Below are 12,286 nucleotides of genomic sequence, written 5' to 3' on the forward strand. Positions count from 1 at the left end.
GAAGCCAGGCTCCGGGAATAGGGGAGACGGCTGGCTCCTGAAGCTCATGGCCACTGACTACCAGAGACCCCCTGCCTGGGTTCCCACTCAGACAGACAGACAGGGGCTCCAGGTGGAGTCTGATGATCTTTATTTCTTAGACAGCCCTGGACTGGGGCTATGAAACACAGTCACCAGCACTATACTCACTCCTAGGGTGGCTCTGTCTGTGGCGTTCCTCACCATCCCCGGGACTCATAGCTCAGTGCCACCCCCCGACACCATGCCCTCCAGGGGGAGGGGACAGCGAAGGGGAGAGGAGGGAGAGCCCTGCGCCTGGCCCTGTCCTGAGTCCAAAGATTCCCATGGTGATCAGAGGGCGGTGTTGGGAATGTGGGACACCCTTGGCCCCGCCTCCCTGACCTCCCCACTACCCCACCAAACCAGCCTTCCTTCCTCCTGGCACTTCCAGTGTCCATTCCCGGCAGTGCAAATGTGTTAGGTGGGGTAGGGGGTGGGATAGGGAGATAAATAGCAGCCTGGCGTTGGCACTGGCTGGTGCTCTGTGGTGGGTATGAGTAGGGGACGGGGCCGCCTTCCTGGAGACAAGCTCCTGGGTGCTGTGATCAGAAGGGTCTGTAGCTCCAGTAGCTGGAGAACACGGAGATCTGCAAGGGGAGAGGGTGCTGTAGGTTGCTGAAGGGGGATGGGGTAGCCCAGGGGAGATGTCAAGGTCACCCAAGGACAATATGTCAGGACAGGGCATTGCTGCCTCGCAGTGCTGTGGGGTACACCAGACCCCAAGGTTGGGGCGCTCTGAGGGTGTGGCAAGGACCCTTAGAAGTCCTTCCCCTAATGAAGGCGCTCGGCCCGGGCCCACCTTGTCCTTGAGCTGCTGGCAGAGCTGCAGGGAGACGGTGAAGTAGACCAGGGCGTCGTTGAGCCAGGGGATCACGCACTCCACTTTGTGCACGTGGCTCACCTCCAGGCGCTGAGAGCCCCACTCGCTGTGGGCAGTGAGAGGGTCCCTGAGGAGGGTCCCGGCCCTCCAGGTGTGGAGGGATGGGGTGGGCGTGCCTGGACCCCCCGCCCCTGCCTACTTACAACATGGCCCCAGGGCTATGCAGCACCGCGCCCCCAGCTGGGCGGAAGTTCTAGGGAGAACAGCACCAGACCCGTCAGGCCTTGCAGGGCGTGTGCATGGCGGGCAGTGGGCCGGGCAGGGGTCCCTCCTCACCTTGGTGGAGTTGGGCTGCAGGGCATGCAGCTGGTACACCGTGAGGCAGAGCTTGTTGAGGTTGATGTAGACGTTGACCAGCAGGTCGGACGGCAGGGCAGGGGCGAACATCCGCTGCGGGAGGCAGGTGGGATGAGGCCCTCGCAAGCCCCCAGCCCAGGCTGGATGGAGCGGGGCTCTGCAGTCACTCATGGAGTCTGCAGGGGATCCCAGTCCCCACCCCAGAGATGCTCTTCTCATCAATGGGGGCTTCCAGACTTTTCCCAGGTGCCCCAAGTATCTCCTGTGCTGTCAGGTTTGGGAACCACTAACCCGAAACAGGGTTAACGTATTTTAGGGGCACAGGACGGAAGCCAAGGACCCCATCCCAGAAACCTGCCTAGACAGAATATTCCACCTATAATCTGGGAGTGGCACCCCTCCGCGTCCATCCTGAGGGCAAGCTGGGACCCACTGTGGGACCCCTCTCCTGCAGCAGGGGCTGGCAGGGGCACTGACCGTGAGGCCGCTGGCGGCGATCTCGGGGAGGGTGAGGGTGGCGGGGGTGGTGAGCCGGTTTCGGGCTCTGGTCAGCTGCAGCATCACTGCGTCCATCAGCTGCAGGGAGAGGCGGGGTTGGCTCTGCGTCCTCCCGTGTCCCCATGCATTAAGGAACAACAGACATGGTAGCTCCCACTCCCACCCAGCCCAGTGGCTACTGTTCCCAGGTCCCGAAACCCGGCAGCAGGGACCTGTTAAAGACAGGTAGTTGGGCTCCAGCTGGGTATGGAGGAGGGCAGGATGTCTGCACTAATGTCAGTCGGGATGGGGCTGATTCACTGCACGGGGATCCTGGGTGCTGGATCAATGGGGAATGGAAGGTCCTGGGAGGTCAGTCCCAGGGGCACAGGCTTTGTGGACAGGGGTACAGGCAACAAAGGTTGGTTGTAAAGGGCCAGAGAGGGCTTCCTGGAAGAGGCGATGGATGACTGGGTTGAGGTTTTCAGGGGGGTAAGCCAGGGTCACGGCTGATGGATGGTGGGACCACCTGGAGCCCATTCCTTCCCTTTGCCGTGGAGCAGAGCCCTGGCAGACTCCTCAGAGCCCCAGCTTTCGTGCCATTCAGCCGTGGCCATGAGTACCAGGGTGATGTGGCTCCCAGGAAACACGTAAGAGCTGACTGGGGGTATAGGGCCTGTAGCACCCTAGGGTGGTTACAGTTCTCGAAGGGATCTTAGTCTATCTGGTTCTAAGTGTGAGGAAACAGAGGTCCAGAGAGGGCAGGTGAACCACCGGAGGACACACAGCAAGTCAGGGGCAGAACTCAAGCATGAGGTCAGGTGCCCAGGTCAGCTCTTCACATGTGCCACGCGGTTAATGTGAAGGCTTTCACTGCTGCTACCGGCAGTGGTGTGTGCCGAGTGCTTACTGGGGGCCCCGTGACCTGAATTATTATGGTGAACAGTCACTCCAGCTTGCCCCTGACCCCACAGGTAGAAATGGAGACACAGAGTCGGCAGGTAAGTGCTTACAGGTTGCACAGCTCAACGTGGAGGCCCTGGGATTGGAACCCAGGTGTGATTCCGGATCAAGAACGTGGGACTAGGCCCAGGAGTCAGGCCCGGGGGCAGCTCACCTTGAGGACCTCAGCGCCCGTCTTGAACTGGTAGCTCTGGTCCCGGCTGGTAAGCAGGTAAATGGCTTGGCTCACATGGTTTCTGGCATCCTGGATCTGGAAGCAGGGGTCATCCAGAGGGGTCACGCCAGCTTCCATGCGGCCAGGAGGGGAGAGTGGGTGCTGCCTGCCTGCCCCACGTCATTCCACTCTCCACACTGTCATCCCTGTGCCCCAGAGGGCCAGGTCCACGCCAGGTGATGGGCATCTGGCATCACCTGGGGCAGGCCTGGTCTCTGCCCAAGCTGACTGCCCCCTCCTTTCTAAGGGATGGACACACAGTAATGCCCAAGACAAGAGTCTGTGCGAGTTGCGGAGGGAAGCAAACAGGGCGACAAGGCAGGGGCAAGGGTGCTGAGATGGAGACAGTCGGGGTGGAGGGGGCAGGGGAGGAGGCTGGGGCCCATTGGTACAGGAGCTGCCAGGGAGCATGGGCCTCATCCCCAGAGCCATGGCAAGTCCCTGGAGGCTCTGGGCAAGGGAGTGACTTTTCAGAGGGCTTCTGAACCATCTCATCCAGCCAGCTGCTGTGGGGACTCCACAGTCCCGATGTGGCCCTCGGGGCTCTCAGGCCAGGTTCTCTACCTCCCCACATGGCGCAGCCTCCAGGGCTTCAGGAAACGCCTGCCCCCAGCTTTGCTGTTAGGAAACACCCTCCCAGGCTTGCTGTGGCCACAGATCCCCAGGGCTAGTCCCTCTCCAGGGAGGCCCCGCGGCAGGCCTGCTGCCGCCTGTCCTTGTGGCTGAGCACTAGCCAGGAGGGGCGGGGTCACCTGCTGCAGCTTCCACTGCTTGTCCTCCCGGAAGGCGAAGTGCAGCAGCTGGTTGTTCCGGGGCATCTTCAGGTTCACATCCTGACAGGCAAGAGTGGGGTGAGCTGGGCAGTGGGGGGGCACCTCCTGCCACAGCCACTCTGAGCCCTTAAGCCCAGGGCAGAAATGGGGTGTGTGGTGGTTCAGGCCTTGGCCGCTGTATAGGGCAGAGGGTCTCCCAATGCCTTGGCCGTTTGGGGGTTGAACAGGGAGGTCAGGAAACAGGAAACCAGGCCCAAGAAGAGCCACAAAGAAGTGAAATGGAAAGAGGTGAAGAAAGGGGAAGGGGAAGAGGAAAGGCAGCCTCTGTGAGGCTCTGTGCGAACGGGGTGCATCTAGTGTCTACAAAGGGCAACAGATGGAGCCCAGGAGGGGGGCCTCCCCCCACGCCTTGGTGCCTGGCACAGAGTCGGGTGCAGACTGGAGTTCAGGCATTGGCTGATTCAACTGTGATGTGTGGCCAGCCTAATCCACCAATGCCCATGTTTCACTGGTCCGGACGCCAGGCCAGGCCGTGTGCAAAGAACCCCTCTCCTGCACCTCTTACTGAATCTGCACACCGATCCCGGGAGAAGGTGTGAGGGTTGCTGTCATTTTCCAAAGGAGAAAACTGAGGCCAGAGAGATCAAGGGTCCCGCCCAGAGTCGCAGGGCTTGTACAGAGAGAAAGTGGGAGCTCCCATGCTCTTCCCCATTGGCAGGATGGGAGGGGACAGGGCCGGGGGACTCACCGCCTGGCTGAGGGCATCCCCCTGCAGAGTCAGCACACCCTTCACCTGGTCTGTGCTGTAACATGTGGCGTCAGAGCGGTGCCTGTGGTCACCCCCCCACCACCCAGCCCTCCCTCCCGGCGGGCTGCCCCTCCTGTCCCATCGCACAACCAGCTGGTCTGCAGGACAGGGCTATGGCCATGCCTCCTACCCCCCAAGGTACCCATTTCCCCGGTTTCCGCCTAGCCCAGGCTCACCCACAGCTGCCTAGGATGAAGTTCTCTTGCTTGGCGGGCCCCTCAGTGCCGGAGCCCGGCAGAGTGAAGCGCAGAGAGGCCTCCTGTGGAACAGAGGGAAGGAGGGGAGCTGGTAGCGCCCACTCAGGCCCGGCCCAGTGCTCCTTCCAGAAGCCCCCCTCCCTCCAAGTCAGCGGGGGGAAGGAACAACGTGGCCTGGCCTCACCTGGGTTCAGCTGGGGTGGGAAGACCCTGCCCAAGCCCCCAGGGCACCTAACCGTGAGCCCGATCTCTGCTTATACCACATTCCCTGAACACCTCCTGTGTGCCCGCCTCGGGGAATACAAAACAGACAGGGGCAGCCTCCCAGCTTGGTTGAGGGGGAAAGGGGCAAGGGGCAGAGTCAGGGAACAAGGCAGTAGTTATGGTAACCCGCGGTCCTGGGCCACAGCAAGCACTACGCCGGTTACTTCTGTGAGCTGCCTGGCTCATTTATCTACACCCCAGCCTCGCGAAGCGGGTACTGTTATCTCCCTTTTGCCAATGAGAAAAGGGAGGCCCAGGGAGGTTCAGTGACTTGGCTGAAGTCACACTGCCAGGCAGAGGCAGAATTCTTCGGCTCCCAGATTGGATGCCGCTGCTCCCAAGGCGGCCTTCCCCGACCCGAGGCCGGGCGGGACTCAGGCCCTTGCTAGCACCCTCGTCGGGACCCGCCCCTGCCCGCACACAGGTACTTATATAATGAGGTCGGCTCGAGTTCGCGGAGGCGGGGCCCTGCCTGAAAGCCGCGGCAGCCGCACACTGTAGGCGCTCAGGACGCAGCCGCGCGGCCCCAGGTGGAGCCAGGGAAATGAGGAGGGAGGGCCGCCACGCCCGGCGGGGCAGGGCGCGGGTCGTTACCTTGAGGATGTCCTGCAGCTGCTTCAACACAGCGTGCACCTCGTCGTGCAGCAGCCAGCGGAACTCCTCCTCCTGCGGGACAGACCCGGCGGTCGCGCCCGGCCCCGCCGCCCCGCCGGCCCGCCCGCTGGCCCGCGCGCCTTACCAGCACCGCCCGCTCCGCCGCCGTCGCTGCCATCACGGTGGCCATGGCCGCAGGCCGCCGCCGAGCGCCCTCCCCACCGGCCGCTGCTCCTGTCCACCAATCTTTCTGTCCTCGGTCCTCCGGTCCTCCCGTCCGCCCCCGGCGTCTGGCTCCGCCCCCACCCGATTGGCGGAGCGGGTACCACCCCGCCCCCAGGCCGGCTCCGTGCTCGCGATTGGCTGGCGCCTGTCGGTCCGCCTCGGCCCCCGAAACCTGCGGGAGCCCTGGAACCAGACTGGCGGCTGCGGGAGTGAGGCTCGCTCCGCCTGGCCAGGGACGCGGCCGGCGGCTGCACGAGTCAGGCTTGCTCCGGCTGGCCAGGGACGCGGCCGGCACCAGCCTGGGGCGCCCGCTTGGGGGCGGAGCTCCCGGGGCGCCCCCAGGATATGATAGGGCGCTCTGCTCCACTCGCGCTCACTCATTGGCCGGCAGGACAGTCTGTCCCCGCTCCTCCTCCCTATTGGCCCGCTTGGCTCCATTGGTCGTGGTTCCAACCCTGCCGCGGACCTCGCCGCCACTCCCAAGTCCGTCTCACCCCGGACGCGGAGGTCCCGAAAACCCACCCCGGCCCCGCCGCTGCCTTCTCCTCCCACCCATCTCGCCGAGGACGAGGGAAGCAGGACTCCTGCGGCACAGCTGTGTTACCAAGAAGTGTTTTATTTTTCTTGCAGTAGCTTTGTTAATTGCACAAAATCATGTTTTGTTTTTGCCATTTAAACATTATCACACAATCCTATTCTGAAAGACAAATGTTCATTAAAAACAAAGCAAAAATAAAAATTCACAACCTTAATTACCTAGATTTGTCATTTAAAGGTTTAAAGAAAAAAGGGAGGGGCTTTCTTACAAGCTTTTTCACAAGTGTCACATTTTCTCCTTAAAAGGGAAGGATTTCAAAAGAAAGGTGAAATAGCTTAAACAGAAATATTCATAAAAAGGAACTTTACAGAATTGTCAACAATATTAAGACAAAATTGACTAACCGGTTTCATTACCGCATCTTCCCCCGCCCCCACCCCCAGTGTGTTCCGCCAGGACTAGAACAGGCTTTGTGTTCAGACAGAAATGCTTCAAAATCCCAGTGAAATGAACTGTGCTAAAAACCCGACAGGCATCTTCCCTGCCCTCCCCCCACTCGTCTTCTGCAATCCTCTAACCCAGTTTCTAATCTCTGAAAGGGGCCAAAGCTGTGAGGGGGGAAGGACCCCGCCCTAGTGTGGCCACCCTATATATAATTACATATTGCATCGTAAATGCTGGCCTTCCTTCTGCAAATTATGATTTTGGAAAATCCAACCCATGCAGAGGGATAAAAAACTGACATCCCTTGGGTAACTTTTTTTTTTGCAACATTCCAAGCCCCCCCCGGTCCCCTATCCAAGGACAAATGTAGGGCCTCTAGGATGTCCCAGACCCACCTCGGAGGGCCAGTCAGTTCAGGTAGGTCAGGCCCAGTTCTCTTCCCTCCCGACAGACCCCGGGCCCGGGAAGCACCGAAGACCATGATGCTGGCTGGAGTGAAGACACTCGTTTCCGTATCAAGAGCTGAGCCTAAGAAATGCTCATCGTTGGTCAGGCTGGGTCTGGGCCAAAGGGACAGACAGAAAGAAATACTGTCTCCACGGGAGGAAGAGGGAGAGGAGGGAGGATGGAGAGCGGTGGGCATGCAGGGGACTTGGCAGGGCAGGGTGGAGAAGGTGGGACCACTGGGAGGGGACCGAGGTAAGAGTGGCTCTTCAGAGCCAGGTGAAGAGTCTGTGGCCTAACGGAAACAGAAAGGAGCGCCCCCAACCCCCACTCCTCTTGGCTCATCACTAGTGGCCCTGAGGACTCCCTCCCAAGGGATGGAATGCAAATCCAAATACTAAAACAGCCTAGGGAGGAGCGAGCGCCCGCTGTGGCAGTGGCATCTGGGGCATGGCTTCGAGGCGGTGAGGGCCGGGCCTCCATGCTCACCTGCAGGCCGGCTGCTTGCTGCACTCCCTGGAAAGCCAGGGCCCCATCTTCTCGGGACTCTGCCAGTCTCTTTTCAGTTCACAAAGGCGTCTATGGAGCGCTGGGTGCACACTGGACGCTTAGACGTGAACATCTTTCTCAGCTCATCACCTGAGGTTGGAGGGCCCCAAGGGCCCCTCTGTCTGGAGTCTGTACTGGCTCATCTGGGCCCAAGGCCTCTCCTTGTAGGGAATCCAGTGGGGGATGGGGACATGACTACAGCCTCTTCGCTCTGGGGGAAGCTGTGGGAAGGCTTCCAACTCTCGTTGCTGATTCTAGTTCCTTGACTGGAAGGGGTTTGAGATAAGACAAGCTCGGAAGAAAAAAAGCCAGGCAGCAGTTTCTGGGCAGCTTCTATCCTGGGGCGAGAGCCTGTGTGTGTGTGTGTGTGTGTGTGTGTGTGTGTGTGTGAACACACAGCCACCTCGTCCGGGGGGCCAGTGCCCAGCTCAAGAGCTTTCCCACACGCCAATCCTGCTGACACTTGTCCCCTCCCCACCGGCCTCAGGGGAAGGGTGCTGCTGTGTGCTGTGCTGATGGCAAGTCTCAAAGTCTGTATAAAAGGAAATGGAGATAGGTGGGCTGGTCCAGAATGAACTCCCAGGCCCCCGACCCCATGTGAGGAAGAGGGGGTCAGAGGGGGGATTGGAGGGGTGAGGGCGGGGTGTCGACAGCTTAGTGTATGTAGGCTCGGTACACGGCGGACATATCGTTGTCAGACTGGTCCAGCGCCTTGGCTCTTTTGTACACCTGGAAAAAAAAGAGATGGCTCAGTCTCTGGCCCCAGAGCTGCCTTCAAGACCTAGACCTGATTCCTGGAGGCAGTGGTGGATGTGGCCAGCAGGCAGTGCTGGAGCCCAGGCTGTCCGGTTAGGAATCCTGTGTTGACCTTGCATGAAGCACCTCCGTTTCTCTGGACCTCAGCCACTGTGCTTCTTGCTCTGGGAGAAGGAACAGTACCCGGGGGATCTTGTGAGAATGAAATACACTATGGGATATAAAACATTCAGCATTGGCCGGGCACTGCGGCTCATGCCTGTAAGGCCGAGGTGGGTGGATCACCTGAAGTCAGGAGTTCGAGACCAGCCAGGCCAAAAAGGTGAAACCTCATCTCTACTAAAAATACAAAAATTAGGGCCAGGCGCAGTGGCTCATGCCTGTAATCCCAGCACTTTAGGAGGCCAAGGTGGGTGAATCACGAGGTCAGGAGATCAAGACCAGCCTGGTGACCGTCGTGAAACCCCTTCTTTAAAAAAAAAAAATACAAAAAATTAGCCGGGCATGGTGGCAGGTGCCTGTAATCCCAGCTACTCAGGAGGTTGAGGCAGGAGAATAGCTTGAACCTGGGAGGCGGAGGTTGCAGTGAGCTGAGATCACACCACTGCACTCCAGTCTGGGTGACAGAGCGAGACTCTGTCTCAAAAACAAAAAAAGAGCAAAACTGTCTCAAATAAATAAATAAATGAATAAAAAATAAAACAAGGGCAGATGAAACACCCAGGACACCTATACCTCAGAGTGAGAGTTCTCACACCTGTGGTGCTTCTGCCCCCAGGGGACATCTGGTAATATCTGGAGACATTTTCTGTCACCTGAGGAGGAGCTATGTCACTGGCGTCTGGTGGGTGGGCTACCCAACATCCTGCAGTGCTTGGATAGCCCCCCCACACAGAATGGCAGCAGTGCCGAGGTTGAGAAACCCTGCCTTAAAGGATGAGGGAGAGGAAGGGGGAAAGAAATGCTTCTGTGTGGTTGCAAAGTTTTTACATTTAATGGGAAATGGTACAAGATTAACTGTCTTTTTTTTTTTTCTTGAGACAGGGTCTTGCTCTGTTGCCCAGGCTGGAGTGCAGTGGTAGGATCATGGCTCATTGCAGCCTCGAACTCCTGGGCTCAAGCAATCCTCCTGCCTCACCTGCCTCAGCCTCCCAAGTAGCTAGGAATAGGGTGCTCGCCACCACGCCCAGCTAGTTTTTTATTTTTTTTTGTACAGATGGGGGTCTTGCTATGTTGCCCAGGCTGGTCTCAAACTCCTGGGCTTGCTTAAGCCTCGACCCTGCCTCGACCCTGCCTCGACCTCCCAAAGTGCTAGGATTACAAGGATCACAAGTATAAGCCACTGTGCCTGGCAAGATTAACTCTATCTTAAGGATTTATACCGCAATCTGTAGAGTAACCACTAAAAAAAGAATGCAGAGGCAAAGTAAAAAAGAAAATAGATAAATGAAACTGGAATTCTTTTTTCTTTTTTTTTTTTTTGAGATGGAGTCTTGCTCTGTCGCCCAGACTGGAGTGCAGTGGTGTGATCTCGGCTCACTGCCAGCTCTGCTCTGCCTCCCGGGTTCACGCCATTCTCCTGCTTCAGCCTCCCGAGTAGCTGGGACTACAGGCGCCCGCCACCACGCCTGGCTAATTTTTTGTATTTTTAGTAGAGACAGGGTTTCACCCTGTTAGCCAGGATGGTCTTGATCTCCTGACCTCGTGATCCACCCGCCTCGGCCTCCCAAAGTGCTGGGATTACAGGCGTGAGCCACTGCGCCTGGCCCCTTTTTTTTTTTTTTTTTTTTTTGAGACGGAGTCTTGGTCTGTCGCCCAGGCTGGAGTGCAATGGCACGATCTCGGCTCACTGCAACCTCCGCCTCCTGGGTTCAAGTGATTCTCCTGTCCCAGCCTCCGGAGTAGCTGGCATTAATAGTGCCCGCCACTATGCCCGGCTAATTTTTGGTATTTTTAGTAGAGACTGGGCTTCACTATATTGGCCAGGCTGATCTCGAACTCCTGACCTCAGGTGATCTGCCCGCCTCAGCCTCCCAAAGTGTTGAGATTATAGGTGTCAGCCACCGTGCCCAGCTGAAACTGGAATTCTAAAAAGAAAGTAAGAAAGGAGGAACAAACAAAAGACAAAGACAACGAACAGAAATCAAATGATAAAATGGCAGCCCCAAATTGAACCACATATCAATACAACTACTAAAGGTCAATGCACCAGTTAACCTTCAGAACCTAACCTCTGAACTCCTAACAGTATAGAGTCTAAGCTCATACCATCCAAACGACCTGAAAGCAGCGAGCTGCATTGAGAAATTAACCTAAAAACTCTGCTTCCAAGCCAATGAATCCTGTAGTCAGGGTGGAGGCAACTTGGAAGTCACTTCAAAGAGAAGCTTTCCCAGCCCAAGCCACATGAAACCCTTGGGAAATAACTATAGTCAGAAATGAGCTTTCATCAAAAAAGACTTATAAAATACACAACGAATTCTACTATCCAGAGAGAATCCACTGGTAGAATGAACAGGGGGGACTTGAAATAGTAATGTAATCTGAAAGAGTCATGAAATAAGTACTCTGAAATGTTGAAACAGACAAGAGACAGAAGACAGAATTTAGGAACAAGGCTGCATGCGGTGGCTCATGCCTGTAATCCCAGCACTTTGGGAGGCCAAGGCAGGCGGATTACTTGAGGCCAGGAGTTCGAGTCCAGCCTGGTCAAAATGGTAAAACCCTGTCTCTACTACAAATACAAAAATTAGCCAAGTGTGGCGGTGCATGCCTGCGGTTCCAGCTACTTGGGAGGCTGAGGCAGGAGAATCACTTTAACCCAAGAGGTGGGGGCTGCAGTGAACTGAGATCATGTCACTGCACTCCAGCCTGGGCAACAGAGTGAGACTCTGTCTCAAAAAAAAAAAAAAAAAAAAATACAATTCAGGAACAGAGAATTATACTATGAAAAGCCAGGTGTCAAAAGAACAGTACTGGCTGGGTGCCATGGCTCACGCCTGTAATCCCAGCACTTAGGTAGGCTGAGGTGGGTGGATCACCTGAGGTCAGGAGTTTGAGACCAACCTGGCCAACATGGTGAAACCGTATCTCTACTAAAAATACAAAAAGTTAGCCAGGAGTACTGGCAGGCACCTGTAATCCCAGCTACTGTGGAGGCTGAGGCAGGAGAATCACTTGAACCCAGGAGGCAGAGGTTGCAGTGAGCCGAGATTACACCATTGCACTCCAGCTTGGGCAACAAGGGTGAAACTCGGTCTCTAAAATAAAATAAAATAAAATAAAATAACATAAAATAAAAGTGTATCAGCTGATAGTACTTTAAAAATACAGCTGCTGTTTCACAAAGTGTCATTTTTATTATAATAATATGGTAAAGACAAATGTTTTTCAGTTGTTTTTTTTTTAGATTCAAATTCTATGAAGATGAGCTAAGAAAGCGGAACTTCTACCCTAAAAAGCTTTTCGAAAGTGTATGTGAAGTTGGATACAGTTGTGCACGCCTATAGTCCCAGCTACTCGGGAGGCTGAGGTGGGAGGATTGCTTGAGCCTAGGAAGTCAAGGCTGCAGTGAGCTATAATTGTGCCACTGCACTTTACCTGGGCAAGAGAGTGAGACTGTGTCTCAAATATAAAAAAAGTGCACGTGTTAAGTGCTTAAAACATCATTTGAAAAATGCTAATAGACATGCTAATTAAAAGGCAGATACTGTCAAAATGGATAAAAATCCAAACCCCAATTACATACTGTCTATCAAAGCCATAATTTAGACATAAATAAGAGAGGAAATGGATGGAAAAAT

At 56.2% G+C, this 12,286-nt stretch overlaps 2 protein-coding genes across 15 annotated transcripts in view, besides 6 other annotated features; both read right to left on the reverse strand.

The window, feature by feature from the left end:
* ROGDI (rogdi atypical leucine zipper) lies at positions 114–5,779 on the reverse strand. 4 transcript variants are annotated; one of them, NM_024589.3, is made up of 11 exons: positions 5,673–5,779; positions 5,528–5,599; positions 4,649–4,731; positions 4,413–4,467; positions 3,644–3,724; positions 2,832–2,927; positions 1,715–1,813; positions 1,217–1,330; positions 1,084–1,133; positions 860–986; positions 114–647 (listed from the first exon to the last, which is right to left on the reverse strand). In NM_024589.3, the coding sequence occupies exons 1-11, from the start codon at positions 5,715–5,717 to the stop codon at positions 606–608; spliced, it is 864 nt and encodes a 287-aa protein (NP_078865.1). In that variant the 5' UTR covers positions 5,718–5,779; the 3' UTR covers positions 114–605. The 4 variants fall into 4 exon arrangements, 3 of the variants coding, with proteins under 3 accessions (NP_078865.1, XP_006721010.1, XP_047290592.1); XM_006720947.5 differs by having other exon boundaries at positions 860–1,007; NR_046480.2 differs by lacking the exon at positions 4,413–4,467.
* Positions 5,287–5,787: an enhancer, noted in NCBI's record as "H3K27ac hESC enhancer chr16:4852142-4852642 (GRCh37/hg19 assembly coordinates)". NCBI's record gives its function as "activates a minimal SCP1, AML or CMV promoter by ChIP-STARR-seq in naive H9 embryonic stem cells {active_cell/tissue: H9 hESC(naive)}" and the evidence as "EXISTENCE:reporter gene assay evidence [ECO:0000049][PMID:30033119]".
* Positions 5,287–6,286: a biological region, named in NCBI's record as "H3K27ac hESC enhancer GRCh37_chr16:4852142-4852642".
* Positions 5,293–5,352: a silencer, noted in NCBI's record as "silent region_7166". NCBI's record gives its function as "represses an Ori minimal core promoter by ATAC-STARR-seq in GM12878 lymphoblastoid cells {active_cell/tissue: GM12878}" and the evidence as "EXISTENCE:reporter gene assay evidence [ECO:0000049][PMID:35858748]".
* Positions 5,393–6,182: a silencer, noted in NCBI's record as "silent region_7167". NCBI's record gives its function as "represses an Ori minimal core promoter by ATAC-STARR-seq in GM12878 lymphoblastoid cells {active_cell/tissue: GM12878}" and the evidence as "EXISTENCE:reporter gene assay evidence [ECO:0000049][PMID:35858748]".
* Positions 6,075–6,286: a silencer, noted in NCBI's record as "fragment chr16:4852930-4853141 (GRCh37/hg19 assembly coordinates)". NCBI's record gives its function as "represses an EF-1alpha promoter that drives an FKBP-Casp9 reporter gene in an ReSE screen in K562 erythroleukemia cells {active_cell/tissue: K562}" and the evidence as "EXISTENCE:reporter gene assay evidence [ECO:0000049][PMID:32094911]".
* The window catches only part of GLYR1 (glyoxylate reductase 1 homolog), a 44,086-nt gene continuing 38,148 nt past the window's right edge, over positions 6,349–12,286 (reverse strand). For 6 of the 11 annotated variants that reach the window (NR_136700.2, NM_001324096.2, NM_001324097.2 and 3 more), the window contains one exon: positions 6,349–8,456. Coding sequence is in view for 5 of the 11 variants with exons in the window: in NM_001324096.2 (NP_001311025.2) it covers positions 8,382–8,456 (75 nt within the window). In the remaining 6 variants the exon portion in view is untranslated. The remainder of the gene's footprint in view (positions 8,457–12,286) is intronic. The other 5 variants (NR_136698.2, NR_136699.2, NR_136696.2 and 2 more) reach the window with 1 other exon arrangement.
* Positions 7,834–8,128: an enhancer, noted in NCBI's record as "tiled region #4562; K562 Activating DNase matched - State 5:Enh". NCBI's record gives its function as "activates a minimal TATA promoter and a strong SV40 promoter by Sharpr-MPRA in K562 cells {active_cell/tissue: K562}" and the evidence as "EXISTENCE:reporter gene assay evidence [ECO:0000049][PMID:27701403]".

Source organism: Homo sapiens, chromosome 16 (genome assembly GCF_000001405.40).
Source record: "Homo sapiens chromosome 16, GRCh38.p14 Primary Assembly".
Lineage (NCBI taxonomy): Eukaryota > Metazoa > Chordata > Mammalia > Primates > Hominidae > Homo > Homo sapiens.